The following is a 21,124-nucleotide window of genomic DNA, read 5'->3' as shown; positions in this document are numbered from 1 at the left end:
AATTGCTTATTCTCTATTAACCGAGGTTAGTTATGTCTAATTTATAGCAATAAGTTTTCCACTGTGTTATGTGAAGCCTTGGGTTTAACAAAGAAGTCTCTGGGGTTCCACCAGAGAGGAAGATAAGATGTGAAGAAGGAGCAGATCATGGGGCATTGAAGAACTCAACTTACATTCACTGTATATATTGGCTATCTATGTATTACTATTTTATTTTAAAAAGCATGCATTGCTTCTATAAAGAAAAAAGATGTTTTGTAATTGCTGTACTAAAATGTAGTTTAATTTCATTATTGGGGTCCGATATAGGGATCATCTTCCTGAAAAAATGTTATGAAAAGACCATTTTTACTTGCATAACTCTCTTTAGATTGATTCTGAAATAGAGCAGCCTTTTACTGACTTCCTTTACAGAAAAGATGCTGTTAAAGTTGAAGGGTGTGTGTGTGTGTGTGTGTGTGTGTGTGTGTGTGTGTGTGTTTTAATGTGTATTCCTGCACATATAAACCACAAGTATATCTGATTCTACTAGAGTAACTGCATCAGTTTAATTCTTCCTAAGTAACTGTTGCGGAGTATTTCAGAGCTGGAAGGAATCTTAGATGTTCAGTTGTGTCCAGCAAGTATAAATAAATTTAATTAAGTTCCAGTCAACGGGGATGCTAATAAAGATGGATTTTTTGAGGGGACAATTCTTTCCTTGTCAGACACTTATCTTATACCCAAGCAAGGTAGTTAAGAATTCCTTAGGGTGACTGAAAAAAAATCTCATTTCCTACATTTCCCATTGACCTTTCTACTGGGGATGTTAAACCCTCTAGTTTAGAATCACAGGTTATCATTTAAATTGAACATGGGCCAAAGCTCTAGGTTCAAAGTGCTGGTCTTTTCCCATTAAATAAGCACTTATAAGGTAATTCATAAATTAATAATTTAATATTTTGAGAATTTTTAATTATTTTATCCATTTGACATGTGAATATTAAAACTTATTACAAGTTACTTTCATGTAGCTGTAGTATATGTAGAGCACATAAGTTTTTTTGAAAGCCTGGCTTTGTTCTGTCTGTGAAATTACTTAGTTTGCTTTTTTTCTTCAAAATAAATGTCAACGATGTTTATGCTATAAGCAATCTATTTTCCTACCTTGCTATAAGCAAACATATTTCCAAAATTTTCAAAAATATATATATGGTGATTCTCAAATTTGTTTTCTAAAAGTAAAGACCAGTGTATGAATTTTAAGTATTGGAAGTCTAAGGTTTCCAAAAAGTCAACAAACCTAGTTTAAGGGATTAGAAATACATGGTTTCTGTACATTCCTAGGACAACCCTATTCAAACATAATGTATTTTCTTTGAGATTGATAAGAAATTGTAGATATTTCAGGTGAGAAAAGTTAAAATTTCTGTTTTGTGCATACCTTGTATGAAATGTAAGAGGAATACCAAGTAAATCTGCCATTAAAATATATTTTTATCATTGAGTTATATATTTTCTATCCCAGATAATAATATATGCCAATGGGTCATTTAACATTAGAAATTCAATAAAACATGAGGACATGTATTAGTGTGTTTGTAAAATAGAGAAAAACTCTAGGTTTGCAGTTACACTAAGGATTTTTGGTGGATGATCTAAAAGTTGATGACATTCACCAATGTGAATAAAAAACCGGTGATTAGAGACATTGTGGCAATACTCTGCTTGTATTACACACAGACCTGTCTACTCAAGATTGGTATGGCAGAATTAAGATTAAATGCTTAAACTAACATGCAAAAACAACCATCATTTTCTCTAACTAACTTCATTTTGCTCTGGAAATTTTTATTTCCAATGATAATGGGGCATGTGTAGGGAATTTGGGAGTAGGGATAGAAAACCAACCAAAGGCAAATTGCTGAGTAGACTTGCCAAGTTTATTATCTTCCAATTTAAAACTGTCAGTTTACTGTACATATTAAATCAATTGAAAGTTCAAGCTCGTTGATAATAAGGTGGCCATTTATTGTCCAAATGGATAATTTTGCTAAAATAAAGACATTACTTCATTCATAGCAGGTGAAAATTAGGAAAAATGAATATATGGATTCCATCTTTTAGGCATGTTTTTCCCCTCTAAGGGAACTTCCCTGTTCCTCCTTTTTCCAAATATAGAATCAGAGTATAGAAAGAAGCTGATTTACCTTTGTGGAAGTAAAGAGAGGAGCCAAACCATGTTTGGCTCCCATGCTGTCTCTAAGTTCTTACATGCTGCAATGAGATGCCATTCATCCTGTAAGGTAACGGGTACCTGAGGGCTTATGTAAGTGGTGCCACTTGGATCTTTTGAAGCATTTTGCTGTAGTCTACACTTATGTCTAATCCAGACACCTTTTGTTTCAGTTGTGGCACTGAAGAAATTCTGGATTCTCGTACACATTGAAAAAAAAAAAAAGAAGAAGGGGGTAGTAGCAGCTAATTCTGAGGAAACAGATGTTTTGTTGTTGTTGTTTTTAAATTCAATTTTTCTCTTCTTATTCCTGTAAGCTTCACTATCCAGGACCAGAAAGGCTTTCTCCATTTTTGCCTTTTAAATTACACCCACGATTCACACAAAACCGAAAAAGAGAAGCTACTCTTCAGCTTCTTAAATGGCTGCTCAGTCTATTGCCCCAAATTAAAACTGAGCAACTTAACTACCATATCTGCATGATAGAGTGGCTGCATATACAAAAAGCACAGAGTTGTCACTTAACTCCATATAATTTTATTTTTACCAGAAAATTATATTTCTGAAGAGACCATTCAGGTAATGAAGTAATTAGAGAAAGACATGGGAGACAGACATGAAAATTACAGTATTTGCCTTCTAAAAGGAAAAGACTATACTCAAGATATCTGCAACCACAAAAGTTAAGGATTAAAAAGACCACCCACCAATTCTATTTGCTGAAGTTTGATGACAAATTGATATAAGTGGATTTCCCTAGCTCCACCACAAATTGTAAGATTCTAGTATCACTGTGTTCTTCATATTTGGCTTCAAATAGCGAATGTGAAAATATAGTGCCTGGCAGGGACTAATTATTCAAAAAGTGTTTGTTTTTTATATTTTCTATATTTTTCCTCCCATCTATCTAACCAGCTATGCATCCATCTAATTATTCTACCTTTGATTTTCTTTCTCATTTTGCCTAACCATGCACTTCTATCTTTCATCTGCTCAACTAAGAAAATCAAGGCCATCCAAGAGAATTGTACTTTCTCATCTTCAACTTGAAATATACTTTTTTTTTACCTCCACTTTCTTCTCCTTTGCCCATTTTATCTCAGAGGAAGAGAAAGCACTTTCTTTTCCATTTTTTCTTCCCTTAAAAACTTTTCTCTCATGCAAGGCCTTGTTCAAATAATAGATGCTCTGTAATTCTGTCCCCATCTCCCTCCTTTCTTGATTTCCCATTTTGTATTTAACCATCATTTTTTGAATTCCTAGAAAAAGTGCGTCATCGTTGTACTAACTTTCTTTTTTCCTAATACCACTGTATTACATAGCTGAAACCTTTACTAAATTGTAAAATCTTTGAATTAAAAGATAATTTATCTCTTTAACTTGACTATTAGTGTTTAGTAGACTCTGGATAGTGAGGATGCTCAGTTGATCTTTGGGCTGAATGATGAAGATGATACAATCAATGCACTGTATTACCTTTTAAATTGCCACATCCCTGTACCTCCAAGTGAAGGATCTCAGCTGGTTTATCCCAGGCATCTAAAATGTAAAACTGCCTTATATCATGATTTCATTTAGATCAATTCATAAACTAAGAAGCATATCAGAATATTTTTGTTAAAATAGTATTATACAAAGAGAAAAATTTAAGTCCTTCATGCCCAAAAAAGATAAATATATTTATAAACTTGAAACAAAATAGAAGGAGTGAGTGGGATGATGTCATCAACCTGCTTGGGTCTGCTTCTGGGCAGGCATGGCTGGGAATTCAGCTAATGTGGTTAATGGAACACATGTGTTCCAGGCAAGGTGGCAAAATGGAACTTGGATCACTGTTTCACATAACAGATTAAGTGGAATTCTGTTGCCTGGGAATAAGCCTTATAAAAAGCTCCCCAAGTAGGGATCCAAGAAAACAAAAAGGAAAAGATAGTTGACTGATCAGAAACTAATCTAAGTTGCCTGTTCTAAAAAAAAAAAAAAAAAAAGGAAAAAATGGGAGGGTAATGGTTAATTTGTTACTTCAGTGCTTATACTTTTAAGAACTGTAATTTTTATTATTTACTATATGCTCTGTTTATTTTCTTATAACTAATACAAATCTTTTAAATGACTCCACGTGGCATTATAACTGTTTCATAAAACCATGATTAAGCTGTATTAGAAACTTGAAAAGATCTTATTAGATATTTAGAAATCCAAATGAGGCATTTTATACAATATTAATATTATACAAGTATACACATCATATCCTTAAAAAGTTCTGACCAAAGAAATGTGCATAGTTTGGTGGCACATAGTAATGAAATAGGAAATACTACTGACTTACTAATAGTTTAAAGATTGTTGGTTGTACAATTTATTATAGAGATAAGAGCAAAGGTTGTAAAAAGTCTTAAGTTAGCCATAATACTGCTCTTATATTCCTCCCCTGCTTTTCAAATTCTTCTGACACTAACAAAAAATACTTTATAAATCTAAGAAACTCCAATTCTACTGATAGATCTCTAAAATATTGCTTCCCTCAAAAAAGAGCTCTCCCTCTTCTCTCAGACTCAAGAAAAGCAGTTGGATAAGTAAAATGGTAAAACATTCTTCCTTCATCCCACTGGAAAGAATCATTTGTACTTTTCAAATTATCTTTAAAGATTTCCAAAAATATTTGCTCTTTGAACAGCCTCAGAAGCTCTGTGTTTTGGGAGGGTATGGGATATAACAGGGAGTGGAAGAGCACTATGTAGAATGCAGGCTTCAGATCCTTATCCATTCATTTCCTTCTGTCTGACATGTTTCCTCACCCGCTCACCAGCATCCTTTCGAAAAAATGTTAAATGTCACTCCTTCAAAGAAGCCCCTCTGACAACTGAAGCAAATCTAAGCCTCCAGTTACATACTTTCCTGCCAAATGCACTTCTCCACCACAGAAATCGCCACAGCTTTAATTGGTTCTTGCTTGTGAAATAACTGGCTCTGTCTCTTTCCCATACCGTACTCTCTGCTGCAGCAGGAGGACAGAGACTAAGCGCTCGCTGCTGCACCTGATGCTGAGCAGCAACTCAATGAATATTTGATGAGTGAATAAAGAGAAGGTAAAATATTTATGGGCTTAACATATAGAAAATGTCTAACTTAGACAAATTACACTTTTTCGTGTCCCTCTATCACCAAGATGAAGGGGGTGTGCATGCTAGAAGAACTAGCTTCACCAATAGACTTTACCTACCAAGTTAGAGCTCTTGCACATTCCTCCCACAGCAATCCAAAGTGAACCCTGGACAACCTCACCTCCATCAAGAGGGATTAAGAGGGAGCCATTTCTTCTTACCCACCTCTGCTTATACTCCAACACTCACAAGTTTTCCAGGGTGCCCTCTGGCATTCAGCAAATGTCCTTTCATGCTCAATCTCTTCTGTGAACATTCTACTCACCTTCCACCTTTAACAGATAAGTCCTGAAGGTGGTGCTTCCTCCACCATCCTTTGCAGCGGTAGCTATTTGTTTCAATATCATGGGATATTGACTCTCTTTTTCTATCATTGCCCTTTTCACACCATTTTCCTCTGTTCATCTCTAAACTCTAACATGCTTTAAAATCTCATGTTATCAGGTCATAACCTGAGCATTGCCATTACTAAAAACTGCAACTCTTCCATAATAGTTTCCTGTAGTCCACTCTCTGACTACTACTTCCTATTTTTCCAACAATCTTTCAGTCCTAAAACTTTCTTGCTTTCTCTTACCCTTTGTTTGCTATCATATTAACTGAATTTGGGAGCATAAAACTGGCTTGTTCCTGTTTGTTTTTTACTATGCAAAAAACGGTTTATATGATAACTGGATACACTAATTGGTTGAAAATAAGATATGTTATCCAAAACTGACCATGGAAAGTGGGGTATTGTGGCTCATGATTAGGATAACATATGGAGATAGGAATAAAATAGCAGTTGAGAAATATATCCATTTGTCTGCCATTAAGTAGTATTAGAAACTGGGGGAGAGGGGAGATTTAGAGACAGCAGCTTATGCTGCAAAATAATTGTCATTTATTTATTGTTAGTAAATAAATACAGCTTTTCTATTGAATAGAAAACTGATCATTAGCAAATAATTCTAAATATTATATACATAGCTTTTATAAAAGTGAGCCAATTATTATTTATAACCCACTGACATTGTTTAATTCAACTACTTTTTCATAATATTTCTATGGTTGTAGGTATATCAGCAATTCTACCAGAAAAAAACACAGGGAAGTTGGCTTTTATTTTCTAACTTCTTTCTGTCAGAAACTGCCAGATTGCTTCAAATGTATGACACAAGATATTAAAGATACAATGATTACAAAGTGAGTAATGTTCAAGGAGAAAAAAGTAAGATGAATAGTACCAAACAGCTGCCAATCAGAATTAAATGATATGATGAGGTTACTGCCTGACAGTCAAGAAAAGGACAACTCAATAGCAATTATATTACTATATTTAGTCATTTCATAACAAATGCCATTTTTAAAGTTCCAGATCATCCATGGCAGAGATGTGCATATACTATTCTTAAAACTCTTTATAATTACATATAGAAATGTATAATTAAGTGCATATAACAACTCTCAGTTCCCTGATGAAGAGACCACTCCCCTGCCTTTAATCTTGAAACACCTGTGATATACAGACTTTTAACCCATCAAATTTGATCCATAACACACTGATATCCAAGCCATACTCTGCATGAAGATCAGAAGCCACCTGGAAGCTAGGCTTATGGACTTAGTCTCTGACTATAGAAATATGTGGGGCTCAGAAAAAAACCTCCTATCAGGCAGGAATGTAACCATCATGATTTTAAGATTTTTTACATCCAGATTATAATTTAAACCACTTTTTTTCTTCTACAAGTAAGCATATGGATTGCTGCATCTAACTCACAAGAATAACTTTGTTCAGTCCATTTCAAGTATGTTTGTCATATAGTCCACCTCCAGGAAAGTTTCTCGAGGAGCTTTATTTAGTAGGTGTCATTTTCTAAATAGAGTATTTCTAGGAAAGAAAGCAAAACAAACCAAATAAAATAAGTGCGGTCAAAAAAGGCTTAGAGGATTGTGTGGAAGAGGTGGGATGCCTGAGAAGATGAAGCACGCAGGTTTTAGAAGTCTTCCACTAAAATCTCCCTTCCAGAAAATCCTCCGTGGAAGCAGAGTTGGCCGACAGCCTCCAGCACCTTGGGGTCCACAATGGCTTTTACTCCAAAGCCACACATCCTATGCTCTGCTCACAGCCAATGACTAAATATGGTGAGGTCTATAAATCTGGGCCATGCCTGCCTGATGTGGGATTTTTCCAAGGAGAAACATTTGCCTGGGGACTCCACATTGGTCTGGCTGAGGCTTTTGCAGAATGCCCACGTAGTCATGAGTTTCCTACCAAATATCCCTTCCTTCCTTATCTCCTTTCACACATGTCAGGGCTGAATTGCTGTCTGAAGGCATTCTTTGCCTACTTCTGCTTCCTCCCCTTCTTCTTTATCCCCCATAGATAGTTCCCAATAAATCTTGGCTCTTCTAATTCCATCTTGGCATCTGGTTCACAGAAGACTCAGACTCATAACATAACATAACATAACATAACATAACATAACATAACATAACATAGCCACTAATAAATAGGTATATACTACATTCTATTTATTTCCTATTATAGCCTCTCTTGTAAAAAAAAAATAATAAATCCCTCTCCTATTTAGTTCACATCATATGGCTTTATAAATTCCTTTGTCACTTCATTACTGTCACTGCCTACTTGCCTGGTTACTTCCTCACTCATTTAAGTCATTAGTACCTGTGTCATCATGTTTTCCACTCCAATTTTTTATTTGATACCATGACAATTACATGTACACATGGACAGCTAGTTAAAGGCTTAACTTCTTTGTCTTCTGCAAAATTTTCCTCCATTCCACTATTCCACTATTCCACTATTCCCCCACTCTTCAGTAAGTCATTCTACTGCACAACTACAAATTCTGTCCTCTTACTTATCTATTTGGTTTATCCCACTACAGTTGTTTTTTTTTTTTAAACAATGAAATTTCTGTCCACCAGACATTTTTCTCTTCCCTATGCCTCCTCTATTTTCTAATGTCACTTACCTCTATTCTAAATCCATATTCCACAGACCATTTTTTTTCTTTTAAGAAACAGGATGTCTCTTTGTCACCTAGGTTGGAGTGCAGTGGTGGCATGATCATAGCTCACTGCAGCCTCAAACTCCTGGGCTCAATCAATCATCCTGCCTCAGCCTCCCAAATAGCTGGGAATGCAAGTGTGTTACCATGCCTGGCTAATATTTTTATAGAGACACGATTTCTCCATGTTGCCCAGCTGGTCTCGAACTGCTGGGTTCAAGTGATCTTCTCTCCTCAGGCCCACAAAGTGCTGGGTTTACAGGCATGAGCCACCACACCCAGATGCACAGAACACTTTAAACTGCCCTTTTTTTCCAGTAACCTAAATTCCTCAGCTTTGTTATCCTGTTGTCACACTCATCTAAACAATCTGGAAAAAATATAGCCATTTATTCCATGAGTATATATAAGCTACTCAATTCCACTGAGAAAAATATATTACATAACAGAAGATAAATTTCTTCAGTGGTCTCCAAGTTCCACTGAGTGTTCAAAATTGCCCTATGTTTACTGTTACCCAGTGAGTTCATCTCCAATTTCTCACTGTAGATCTTTAAACACTTTCCATTTTCCTGAAATGTCGGATCTTGCTACCTTTCCCTTCACTTTGACCTCTTTTTCCTCCTCTCCTTCTAATACAATGACAGACCCCTCTACCTCTACCCTCCATCCAAAACTAAATGATTTTGTTTTTGTATATCATCCTCTTCAATTTTCTCAGGGATGTTATGTTATCAATTATTCCCTGTCTTTATAGTTTTTAAATCTCTTCTCTCCTTGCTCTTTCATAATTTAACCCCAAAGAAAAATAGATTAAATAGATGACAGTTGAATGGATGGATGGATGGAGGGATAGATAGATAGATAGATAGATAGATAGATAGATAGACAGATAGATAGATAGACAGACAGACAGACAGATAGACACATAGATAAAATAACTGTTTACAAATAAATGGCCTAAAAACTACCTGACTCCACCTGCCCACCTTGACCTTCATTTTTGGCACACTAGGTCTTTTTCCACTCTTAGGCCTTTTCCACTTTTTCCACTCTTATTTTCACACATGCTGTTTCTATTTCCTCAAGTCCAGTTTTTCCTCACTTACCTCAAATTGGGCTTCTGCAATGAATTCCATGTCAGAAAGTCCAATGGATTCCTCTTTATCCTTGTCTTGCTTGACATCTCAGCAGGACGTAACATTCTTGATCACAACACTTTTCTTACAACAAGCCCTTTTCTTGGTTTCCCTGATATCACACTCCACATTACCTATGTATTTGGCTGCTCTCTCAATCTCCTTTTTTGGGTTATTTTCCTATTAAATCTTGGTGAATTAAGTGCCACAGGTCACTGACTAAATACCTGTCTCTTCACCCTACACTTCCCCAGGTGATTTCATCTATTCCCAAGATTTAGATTACTTGAGTTAACAACACCAAACCTAATCTCTCTAGGCCCATATTCTTATATTCTTACTAGATATCTCTGTGTGGAGGGCTCATAGGTATTTCAAAGTTAACAGACCCCAAACTGAAACTACGATTTTTCTCTACTATTTTCCTTTTTGTGGTTCTATAACTCACTCTGTGGAATCAAAAAATCATCCTTGACTCCTTCCTTTTTTTGTGCTTCCTATATAAAAGAAAGAAACAAAATAATCAGCACTATTCTTTTCATGTTTGAATATTTCTATATAAGATTTTTTGTCTTCTTGATCCTACCTTACCCTATAATTTACCCTTAATTTTTACCTAACTCTATTTTTATTTCAAGTCTCAGTTAAATTCAATTCGATTTTTAAATAAAACCTATCTTGAGCTTCCCAGTTTGATTGATTAACTGTTTTATATATGCCCCCTTATATATTGCTGTGATAGTTAGTTTTATGTATCAATCTGGCTAGGTTAGTACCCAGCTATTTAATCAAACACAAATCTAGGTGATGCTTGAAGCTATTTTGTATGTGTGGCTAACATCTACAATCAACTGACTTTAAGTAAAGGAGATTGTCCTTGATGATGTGGATGAGCTTCGACCAATCAGTTGAAAGGCATTGAGAGCAAAATCTAAGATTTCTCAGAAAAGAAATTCTTCCTCAATACTGTAGCATTCCCCTGCCGGAGTTGCCAGCCTGCTGGCTTGCTTACAGATTGAGACTTTCCGAAGTCCCTATAATTGTGTGAGCCAATCCTTTAAATTAAATTTCTTTATGTGTGTGTATGTTCTGTTTTTCTGTAGAACTTTGACTAATGCAGTTTCTATAGCACCCGCCACTTTTTTAGCTAGCATTCAACATATGCCTAATAGTATCTTAACATTTATCTTCTCTATGATATCATAACCTCAAGGAGGGCAGGACGTATATCTACTATTGATCAATTTCCACAGAATCTTGCACATTTTCTGGCAGACATAGTACGTACTCAAAAATTATTTTAAAATAAAGTATAAAAGATTTTGCATGTCTTTTTTTTGTTTGGTACTTTATAATACTCATTGGTATTATTTACATTTTATAAAATGAATTTTTATTCACAATTATTTACAAAAAGACAAGATGGCTAAATTTTCCTAGACATAACCAGTTAGATTTGTATAGTAGAGACTCTATTATTAAAAATAACTTTCAGAACTTGGAAGTAGTATAATTTAATAAAGTATATGTTGATTGCCAATTTAAAGGGACCAATTGTACGAGTCATATAAATTAGTATATCCAAATGTATATTTCTTCTCAATATATTACTATGTATTAGTTGGGCTAAACTGTATTGGGAAGGTTGAGCACTTGTAAGACCTCTCCAGAGCCTTAGATATGTTATTGTGCATTGTGATTCACTGCAATCAGATGTGCTATACAATGCATCATTTCTCACACCTATTTGATAACAATAATGCTTTTAGTTCGTACTGTATCTGAAGGTAATAGGGTTCCAAAGAATGAACTTTGAGTAACACTGATGATTGGATGATTTATTTATAATGCTATTTAGGGCAATTTCCCCCCAATACTTGACAATATTATCACATTCCTGATCCTTTAAAATTATCATTTAATATAAACAATCTTATAATTGGTAGTATGTTTAAAACAAGATCTAAAAGTAAACATCTTGAGGTTCATAAAGATTTCAAAATATCATAGTGATTCTAAATTTCTGAGGAAAAGGCAGCAAAAAACTTTCTCCTGAAAGGTTATGGTAGTGAGAATCTTTCTATGTCTTGCATTATAAGTTTTAATGTGTCTTTCATTGTAGAAGATCTTTATGTTCTTGCATTTTTGGATATTATTGAGATTGAATGTTTATTACGCATACTTACAACTATAGTCATAAATGTATGTAAAAGTGGTGTCATTTATTAAGGAGTTATTGCTTTGAAATTTTAGTGTTTAGAAACATTACTTCAAGTGCTTGCTAAAAATACTGAATTCTAGATCCAACTCTAGAGTTTTTGATACAGTAAATCAGAAAAAAATGGCTCAGATTGTACATTTTTAAAAAGTCTTTCAGATGATTTTTCAGCCGCTGAAGTTTTTATGCCCTATTATGTCTGAGAGATAGGTCATATTTCTATTAGTAACACTGGCTCACTAATTTCATGATTAAACTCTGGGCAGAGAGTTAGTCCCTACTAGACATAGAAAAGTGTATTAGATTTTGGAGCCCAGAGAGCCAAAGTGATCATAAGCAAAAAGAACAAAGCTTGAGGCATCACACTACCTGGCTTCAAACTAAACTATAAGGCTGCAATAATCAAAACAGCATGGTACTGATACAAAAATAGACACATAGATCAATGGAACAGAATAAAGAACCCATAAATAAAACCACACACCTAAAACCATCTGATCTTCAACAAAGCTGACAAAAACAAGCCATGGGAAAGGGACTCTCTATTCAAGAAATGGTGCAGGGATAACTGGCTAGCCATGTGCAGAAGAATAAAACCATACTCCTACCTTTCACCATATATAAAAATCAACCCAAGATTAATTAAAGATTTAAATATAAGACCTTCGACTACAAACCTAGGAAATACTCTTCTTGACATTGACCTTGGCAAATAATTTTGGCCAAGTCCCCAAAAGCAATTGCAATAAAAGTAGGACCAAATTAAAGAAACTATCGACAGAGTAAACAGACAACCTACAGAATAGAAGAAAACATTCACAAACTGCATCCAACAAAGGTCTAAAATCCAGAATCCATAAGGAACTAAAATAAATCAACAAGCAATAAACAAATGATTCCATTAAAAAGTGGGCAAAGGACATGAACCGATACTTCTCAAAAGAAGACATACACGCAGACAATGAATATGAAAAAATGTTCATCACCACTAGTCATCAGAGAAATGTAAATCAAAACCACAATAAGATACCATCTCACACCCGTCAGAACGGTGATTATTAAACAGACAAAAAACAATGATGCTGGTGAGGCTCGGGAGAAATAGGAATGCTTATACACTGTTCGTGAGAATGTAAATTATTAATATTTCAGCCACTGTGGAAAGCCATTTGGAGATTACTCAAAAAACTTAAAAACAGAGCTACCTTTCAACCCAGCAATCCCATTATTGGGTATATGTCCAAAAGAAAATAAATCATTCTACCAAAAAGACACATGCATTCATACATTCATCACAGTGCTGTTCACAATAGCAAAGACATAGAATCAACACAGATGCCAATCAATGGTGGAACAGATAAAGAAAATATGGTGCATATATACCTTGGAATACTATGATGCCAAAAAAAGAACAAAATCATGTCCTTTGCAGCAACATGCATGCAGCTGGAGGCCATAATCCTCGGTGAATTAATGCAAGAACAGAAGGCCAAATACTGTATGTTCTCACTGATGACTGAGAGCTAAACTTTGAGTATACATGGTCATAAAGATGGGAATAATAGACAATGTGAACTACTAGAAGGGGAAGGAATGGAGACAGGCAATGGGTGAAAAACTACCTATTGGACACTATTCTCAATACCTGGGTGACAGGATCATACCCCAAACTTCAGTTACAATTAAAACTATTTGTATCTACCACTGAACAAATGTCACAAATATACCCATGTAACAGATCTGCACGTGTCCTCTGTATCTAAAATAAAAGTTGCAATTATAAAAATAAAAGAAAAAAATAAGAATTTTTGAAGGATGTGACACAAATGTTTAGAAAATAACCTTGACATGCCCACATAACAGAATCTTTCCAATGGATAATACATTTTCCATTCTATCCTATATCATCTCCCACTGGGAGTACCTATTCTTAAGTATATGGAAACATAATACTGCCTTGGTTTACAGATGTTAGACCGGTGTTTCAAAATAAAATGTTTACAAGAAGATTACATTTATTTTCTCTTAATATAAACACATATATCACTGTTGCAGAAATACATTTTTGTTATAATTAGAAAAATGGTTGTAAAACTAAATAATATAACAACAGGAGTACTTTTTAGCTAACAAAATATATTTGAAATAAAAAAGAATGTTTACAGATGTGAATATATCTCATTGGCTTTCTGTTTAATTTGATCTACAAATATTTTCCAATTTCTGAAAAAATTTCAAAATTCACAACTTTTTCTAAAATTTAGAAGTACAAACTCCAAGAGAATTTGAAATACACAGCAAGGAATGCAGTGATAAATACTATGGAAATCATCTGCCTTTCCTACAGTTCCCATTATGCCAAAATAATGCTGAGCTTCTGGAATCATATTTGCCCTTATAAAAACAGAAGATTAATTGACAATGATTGTCATTTGTATCATTTGGATATGCCTTCATTTTTTGCCTTCACTTCTGCAAAATTTGTTTTTTCAACTTAAACTCAAATTGAGGTAGGAGGTGGGACTTGACTCAGGAGGCAGGACTTAACTGCAGAGACAGGACTCAGACATTAGATGAAATTGAGGACCAACTAAATACAATTGCAGGATGTATTTGCAGAAAGAATGTTTACAGATGTTCACATCTGTAAATATTGGGATGGGGCATGAGTAGCTTTCCATAAGACATGCCCACCAGTGTGCCATGTCGTTTACCCTTGCCAGAACAACACTCAGATGTTACTGCTTCTTTAAAGAACATGACAATGACCTGATGACTTGGAAATTACCACCCCTGTCCTATAAATGTCTGCATAATCCACCATTTAATTTTCATATAATAAAAAGTGGGTATAAATACGACAGCCAAACTGCCTCTGAGCTGCTACTTTAGGCACACTGTCTGTGGGGTTGACCTGGTCTGAAAGGAGCAGTACCTCTACAGCTGCTGTATACTGCTACTTCAATAAAATTTGTTGTCTAATAACACTGGCTGCCTAAATTCTTTCCTGGGTGATGGCAAGAACCATCCTGGGCCAAGCCCAAATTTTGGGGCTTGCTTGCCCTAAATTAAAATGTTGAAGCTGCTTGAGATGGCCACATTTTTGCCCCAAAAATCCTAGAGAAAAAAAAAAATCATTACTCTGGCCCTTTGGCATTAGATTTGATTGATTGGTTTATTTTTTAATTTATTAATGAATTCAACAAATTTTTATTGAGGAAAATCTCTGTGTATAAGGTTTCAAACACCAAAAAAAGGGCATAAAATGCTGTAGATATAAAAATAGGCATGTGATTTCAGTGGGATTGGTCTAACAGGCCTTTACAAAGTGCTGACAAAATTGAATTAGGTGAGATGGTTGAGAACATTATAGGAAAAAGAGACAGAGCTACACATGCAGAACACACTCTCCAAGCCATATAATAAATTGAAGATAGTAAAAACAAGAGGGTTAATATGGTGGTTTTAAGCCTAGAGCCATTATTATAACTCCAAGTCTTTCACATACAATTTGCAAACCAAGCAGTTGCTGACCAAACTCGTATGCTGCTCCTTATGATTACTCCAATTTATGTTTTATGTGGACTTATCTAAGACACACAATCCTATATATGTAGTCATTGACATTTCATCTACAAAGATTAATGTGATGGATTAAATATTATGCATTAAGACTAAAAGTATATCCTATGAAGACAAAAATAATTCCATTAGTGAACAAAAACTATCAGTTCGGAAATTATCCTTTCATATGCTCTATCATAGTTGTCAAACAGCGGCAATTGTCTCAGTATTACTCCTTTATTCTTTGTTATTTTTATGAGTTGAAATCAATTATTTGAGGTCATTGTTCATATTTTCATAGGCCTTTCTCTTAAAAAATAACAAGTGAAAATTTGGGGAAAAATGAACCTGAAATTAAAAGTAAGCCACTGAGAAATAACATAAATTAAACAGGCTATAGAACAAATATTTTGAAGCTATACAAATTCAAATATTTTATCATTGAACTAAAAAATGCATAAACATAACTTCTAGCATACTTTCACTATTCATATTTTAAGGAAAAGTGTTACATTCTTCTTCAAATGCATCCTGTGTAGAATATTAATACAATAGCTGTTTGCCACCCACAATCATGCATTTAAAAAATACACAACCCAACTCCTCTTTTCAACAGTTATAAATTATATGTGGTTCATTTTCTTTTATATTGTTGTTCCCTACTTCTATAACATGTTATTCTAAGGAAATATATTTTATGCTTGCAAATATTTTATTCAGTCACTTTATTATAATTCAAAATGTTTATATAGTGTTAAGATTAAATATTACTTAAAATTTATTGTCATGAGTCTTTAATGTTTAAAATATTCTTCTCTATTGAGTTACAATTAAAACTATTTTTAGCCCACAATTGGACAAATGTATTCATTGTGTTATGAACAATGAATAAATTTATATTGGAAATGCATCTATTATGAAGATAAGGGGTAGGTTTACAGTATCCTCATTTTAGAAGTCTTCTTAAACATCAATACTTCTAATTAATATTTTTGTGTATGCCACAGTGATTTTTTCCCCTCAGAGAACACACATTTTTGATGGGTGGATGAAAGTGTGATTTATGTTTACCAAGTTCAAGAAGTGCAAGTGTGAAAGGAAAGTGAGAAGATAAGGCGAACATAAAGTATGTATCTTTATGTTCTCAGCCAAATCAATGTGAAGAAACAAATCTTGAGACTGAGGATCTAGAAATATTAAAATGATTGTTTCATATTGTAGAGTGCTGGATATTACCTGCATACTCTCCGGGGATTGTCTGATTCCATAATGATATGCTCCTTTGACTGACCTTCTATTGACCAGACTAGTAGCAATTTTGTAGGAGTAGAAGTTGTCATGTAAAAAACTGACACTAATGCAAATTATTCTTGTTAATAGCAATGCAAATTTGTTTTATTCAGTAAAGAAAAAAATTGCTTTAACTCTGTAGGAAATATAACTCCTAAACATCTTATTTTATCACATATAAAGGGTTTTAAAAAGCTTTGCATCTATTAGCAAATGCATTTCAGCATTCCTGATTGTGTGTACCTATGTGTTTATGTCCTTAAAATTCTCCTTTGAACCATAATTAATAATTGAATAAAATCTTCATCATGTGTTCAGTTTATATTTGCATAAGATGCATGGTTTTTTTTTAACTTTTGAAAATTATATTTTATTGTTTCACTTGACAGAGCCAAATAAATTGTATTACTGGAGAAGGGCACATTCAAGGATCTTTGAGTGAAGTCACATCTTTTCTAGTTCTCAGAGAGAATCTCAAGCGTCAATAGAACTTTAATTTTCCTGACTCTCCAGTTCTTTTTTCCTCCTATTTCTCCTACTGTTTATATGGTGGGGGGTGGGAGGGGTTGTTGGTTTGTTGTTGTTTTGATTTTTATTTCTAGATCTTGTTGGTGCATAAATTATCCCCCATTAGTGAGAGCAATGACTAAGATTTTGGTTTTCTGTTCTGACCACTTGGTAATTTCTATGAGATGAATAATGAAACTCTATTCGTTATTGGGTTAAACATGAATGAGATTCTGGTTTGTTGGCTTGTTGTTTGTTTACCTGTTTGCGTAGATCTCAAATCAACTGGGAAAGTGTTTCCTGCCCACTGGGAAGGAAAACACCTGATATCCGGACTAGAAAGTTTTTGGTTGGGTTTTCGTGTTCACTTTTGACCCGTGACTGAAGTGATGAGACTGCAGGTACAAGTCGTCTTTGTGACTATGCAACTGTGTTTGAAATTGAGAAAGGTCTTCACTTCTATATCCAGAGGATAAAAGTACATTAAATTGTGGCATCTCTTAAGCTAAAGAATCACTGTTATAATTTATTTTTAAAAAGTGCTTATGTAAATTGAATATTCCCAAATACATAGAATATTTTAAAATAATTTCTAATACATGAATTGTGATAACCTCTAAAAAATTCCCCAAAGGCATTTTCTATAAAATATCAAATCGCAACTGGTTTAATAATGATTTAAAGAAGAAAAACAGTTATATGACTTTATATAAAGTATCAATGTTAAGTAATATACAAGTAGGCAATTTAATTTTTATAAGATTTAGGTTTGGTTCCTCATGAAAAGTCTATTTAATCTGAATTCCTGAAAGTTTGTATACTAGGTTACTAATAAAATAAAAATGTATTCCTATAAAAATGTTTAATATTATAAAAATATATTTTAAAGAAGTTGAATCATAATTCTCTCAATCTTTTTATTTCAACTATAATTTTGTTTTATAGTTTGTCAGCTTGAACAAAATTTTCAAGATCTTTAGGTAACTTAAAACTTAGCTTAATATTACATTGAGTTACTTATCATGAATACATAATATCACAATAAAACACTATAAATTATTGATTACCAAGCATAAAATTAAGTTTATTTTTATTGTCTACAAAACATGAGTACATAACAAGTACTGGAGAGTATAAAAGAGGAAATTGTATTTGCCTTGGATTATAAGACTTAGCTAAAAATCAACCATTAAATTGTTAATATTTTCCCAGTTTGCTCAGTTTTGATGGATTTATTCATAAGATATCCTATCAATCATAATCTCAGGACACAGCTCAGAGCAAGTGAGGAGGGGATGGGCCTGTCAAATATTCGTCCCTCTTCCTTTATCCATTGAATCACTTATGCATTGACAATTTCTTGAGCACCTATCACAGGCCATTGATTGCATTATGTGCTCAGGGGAAACAGATGACTAGAACATTCAGGTCCTCAACATATCCTGTTATAAAAGTTAAGATCTGAACAAATAATTAATTAGAATAAAGTGGATTTAGTAATATGCTTATTTTCTTACAGGAACTCCAGCCTTGTCAAACTCTATTACTTCTGTTACTCTCAAGATCTACTTGGGCATCGCAACATTCATAATATATTTTTTAAATTTCTCCTTTACTTCTGCCCTACAGAAATCAATCACTTCTCAGGACACACCTAAAACTTTTGTGTCTTTTATATTAAACTTCTGCTATAATGCAATTATCTGTTGACATATTTGCATTACCTAAATAAATTGTTTTCTTCCTTAGCTAAACAATTTGTTAAAATACAAAGTACATTGTTTCATAGGGGAGAATAATTAACTTTAATTTGGGAATGCCATGTAAAATATACATTCTGATAATGGCAAAATGACGGTAGACAAAGAATACAATTTTCTGATGAGGAGAAAATTTACAGATTATTTGTATCAAGAATTTGGCACATAAAGTTATACACAAAGTACATGCAGTCACGAAATATTTATTGGTTATATACTAGTTTCTATGCTATCTAATGTGGATTACAAAGAAATCCAAACCACATAACATCATAATTATTATAAAAAGAATAATAGATTATAAACTACCTTTAGGGAAACATATCAGTTATTATTGAAAATTGTTTTATACAGACAAGGATTATTTTATCAAATATATTTTTCTCCAATTAGTTATTATACTCCCTTTCTCCTTCCTTCCTTCCTCCTACCTCCTATACTTTACCTCATTTGAGATTTACTCAAATGAGGTAAAATTAACCAATTCCACAGACTTCAAATTTATGACTGATGCTTTGTTACTAACAAGTAATGGCAAATATACTGTGAAATCAGAAGTATAAAATGTCAATACATTATTGTGTCATTCAAAAACAATTGTGTGTGATAACATGCAAGGAGAATATGTTTTCACTGAGCTATATCTTACATAAATTATTACAAAAATAAACATTACTTTTTTTATTAAGACTAATGTGAAACATTTTACAGAGGTATTATTCAACCCAAGGAACAAACTGCAAAATGAGGGAGAACAATGACAGATAAAGCTGAAGATAGACTCTCTGACTTGTTATAGAAATGGCATGATGAGAGTGACAGATTTGGATATCTGAAAGAAAAACAGGGAACTAAATTGTATTGGATAGCTTTTATGAGCAGACATTGAAAAAATAAGGTTTACAAATTTTTTCTAAGCAAATATGCAAAACAGCACTATACACCTGGTACTTTATCCAGTTTTACAGGAGGACACCTAAGATGCAAAGCAGTTAAGCACATGTCCTGAGATCAAAAAATGAATAATGAAGTATAGTAAATTCTTATAATTTTATGTTGCCTTGGTGTTCATTTTGAATACAGGTTTAAGTTTCTTATAGCAAAAGCAGGGTTTGGTCACCCTTGACTCAGTTTCCAGTTCTACACCACACCCAAATGCCTCAATCCAGAGGCTCCAGATAAGAGCTTAGATGCATCTCTCCTGCCTAGCAGACCAGGTTATCCATTTTCCGGCTACTTCCTTTAAAAAAACTATTCAGGTATTTTCCCGCAAACTTAACATAATCTACACCCTATGCCCTTATGTATCCTGCTAATTGCCACATGTTCTCTCTCTCTCTATGCCTGACTCTACATTTCTGCCTTGCATGACCTGGAGACAGAGAACTGTCCTCCTGACTCATTGTGTTCTCCCTGCCTAGGATCCATAAGTAAAAAGTCTTTGAGCTTGTTTCTTACTGTGGTGGTGTATCAAATTTGCACCTTCCATGCAAAGAACTACAGCTTCCCCAGGCCAGAATTTCCCTGGGATGCCAGGAAGAACAAAAAGTCAGGATCCCAGTGCTGCAGCAATGGTTAGGCAGGCATAAACTGAACAGGGATCAAACAAGAGCCACAAGGGCATCTTCCAATATAAACACCTTTCCTGTGTGCGAGACCCCCTGGTCACGGGTTTGAGAACTAGACATTAGGCTGCCTAGCAGGTAGAAGTAGTATCCCACAAAAGTCACACTGTAAACACCCATGTCTAGTTCTCCTTCATTTCCCAATAGGACAGGGTTGCTAACAGGTCTGGTACTGAAACCCCAATAGCTAGAGGCTCTTAAAACACAAGGAAAATCCACTTCTAACTGGGATCAGAGGACCTTCACAAACCTCCTCTCCAGTGAAACATTCACAATTGATAACAATAATATAATAATATACATATATGTTATATCATACACAAAATCATGTACCTAATTATACATATATGTGTTAGCATTGTTTTATTATATATCATGTATCTATAATCTTATATATGATGTTATATGTGTAATGATATAGTATGTATATATTATACATTAATGAAATATAATTATGTATATATTATATATCTACATTTAAAGTCTCCAGAAATTGTTCTAAGATATACAGCAAATTATATGTATTTTTTTTCAAGAAACACAAATCTCAGTAACAATAGCAAGCATCTATGTAATTTGAACCTTAACCCATACCCTCCTTCCCATTAGCTCCAGAGCAGTGGTG

The 21,124-nt window shown here is 34.0% G+C and overlaps 1 protein-coding gene across 7 annotated transcripts in view; it reads right to left on the bottom strand.

Moving 5' to 3' along the window:
• GRIK2 (glutamate ionotropic receptor kainate type subunit 2) overlaps positions 1 to 21,124 on the bottom strand; it is a 676,376-nt gene that overhangs the window by 84,989 nt on the left and 570,263 nt on the right. Inside the window, exon 15 of one of the 7 annotated variants that reach the window (XM_017010781.3) lies at positions 18,178 to 19,706. The exons of the other annotated variants lie outside the window; for them this stretch is intronic. Within the exon in view, the coding sequence (XP_016866270.1) occupies positions 19,668 to 19,706 (39 nt within the window). The 3' untranslated portion in view covers positions 18,178 to 19,667. Of the gene's footprint in view, positions 1 to 18,177; positions 19,707 to 21,124 lie in introns of those variants that run through there. 7 annotated transcript variants of the gene reach the window in all.

Source organism: Homo sapiens, chromosome 6, assembly GCF_000001405.40.
Source record: "Homo sapiens chromosome 6, GRCh38.p14 Primary Assembly".
Lineage (NCBI taxonomy): Eukaryota > Metazoa > Chordata > Mammalia > Primates > Hominidae > Homo > Homo sapiens.
Note: the sequence above shows the minus strand (reverse complement) of the source record. Positions and strands in the feature narration are given on the sequence as shown.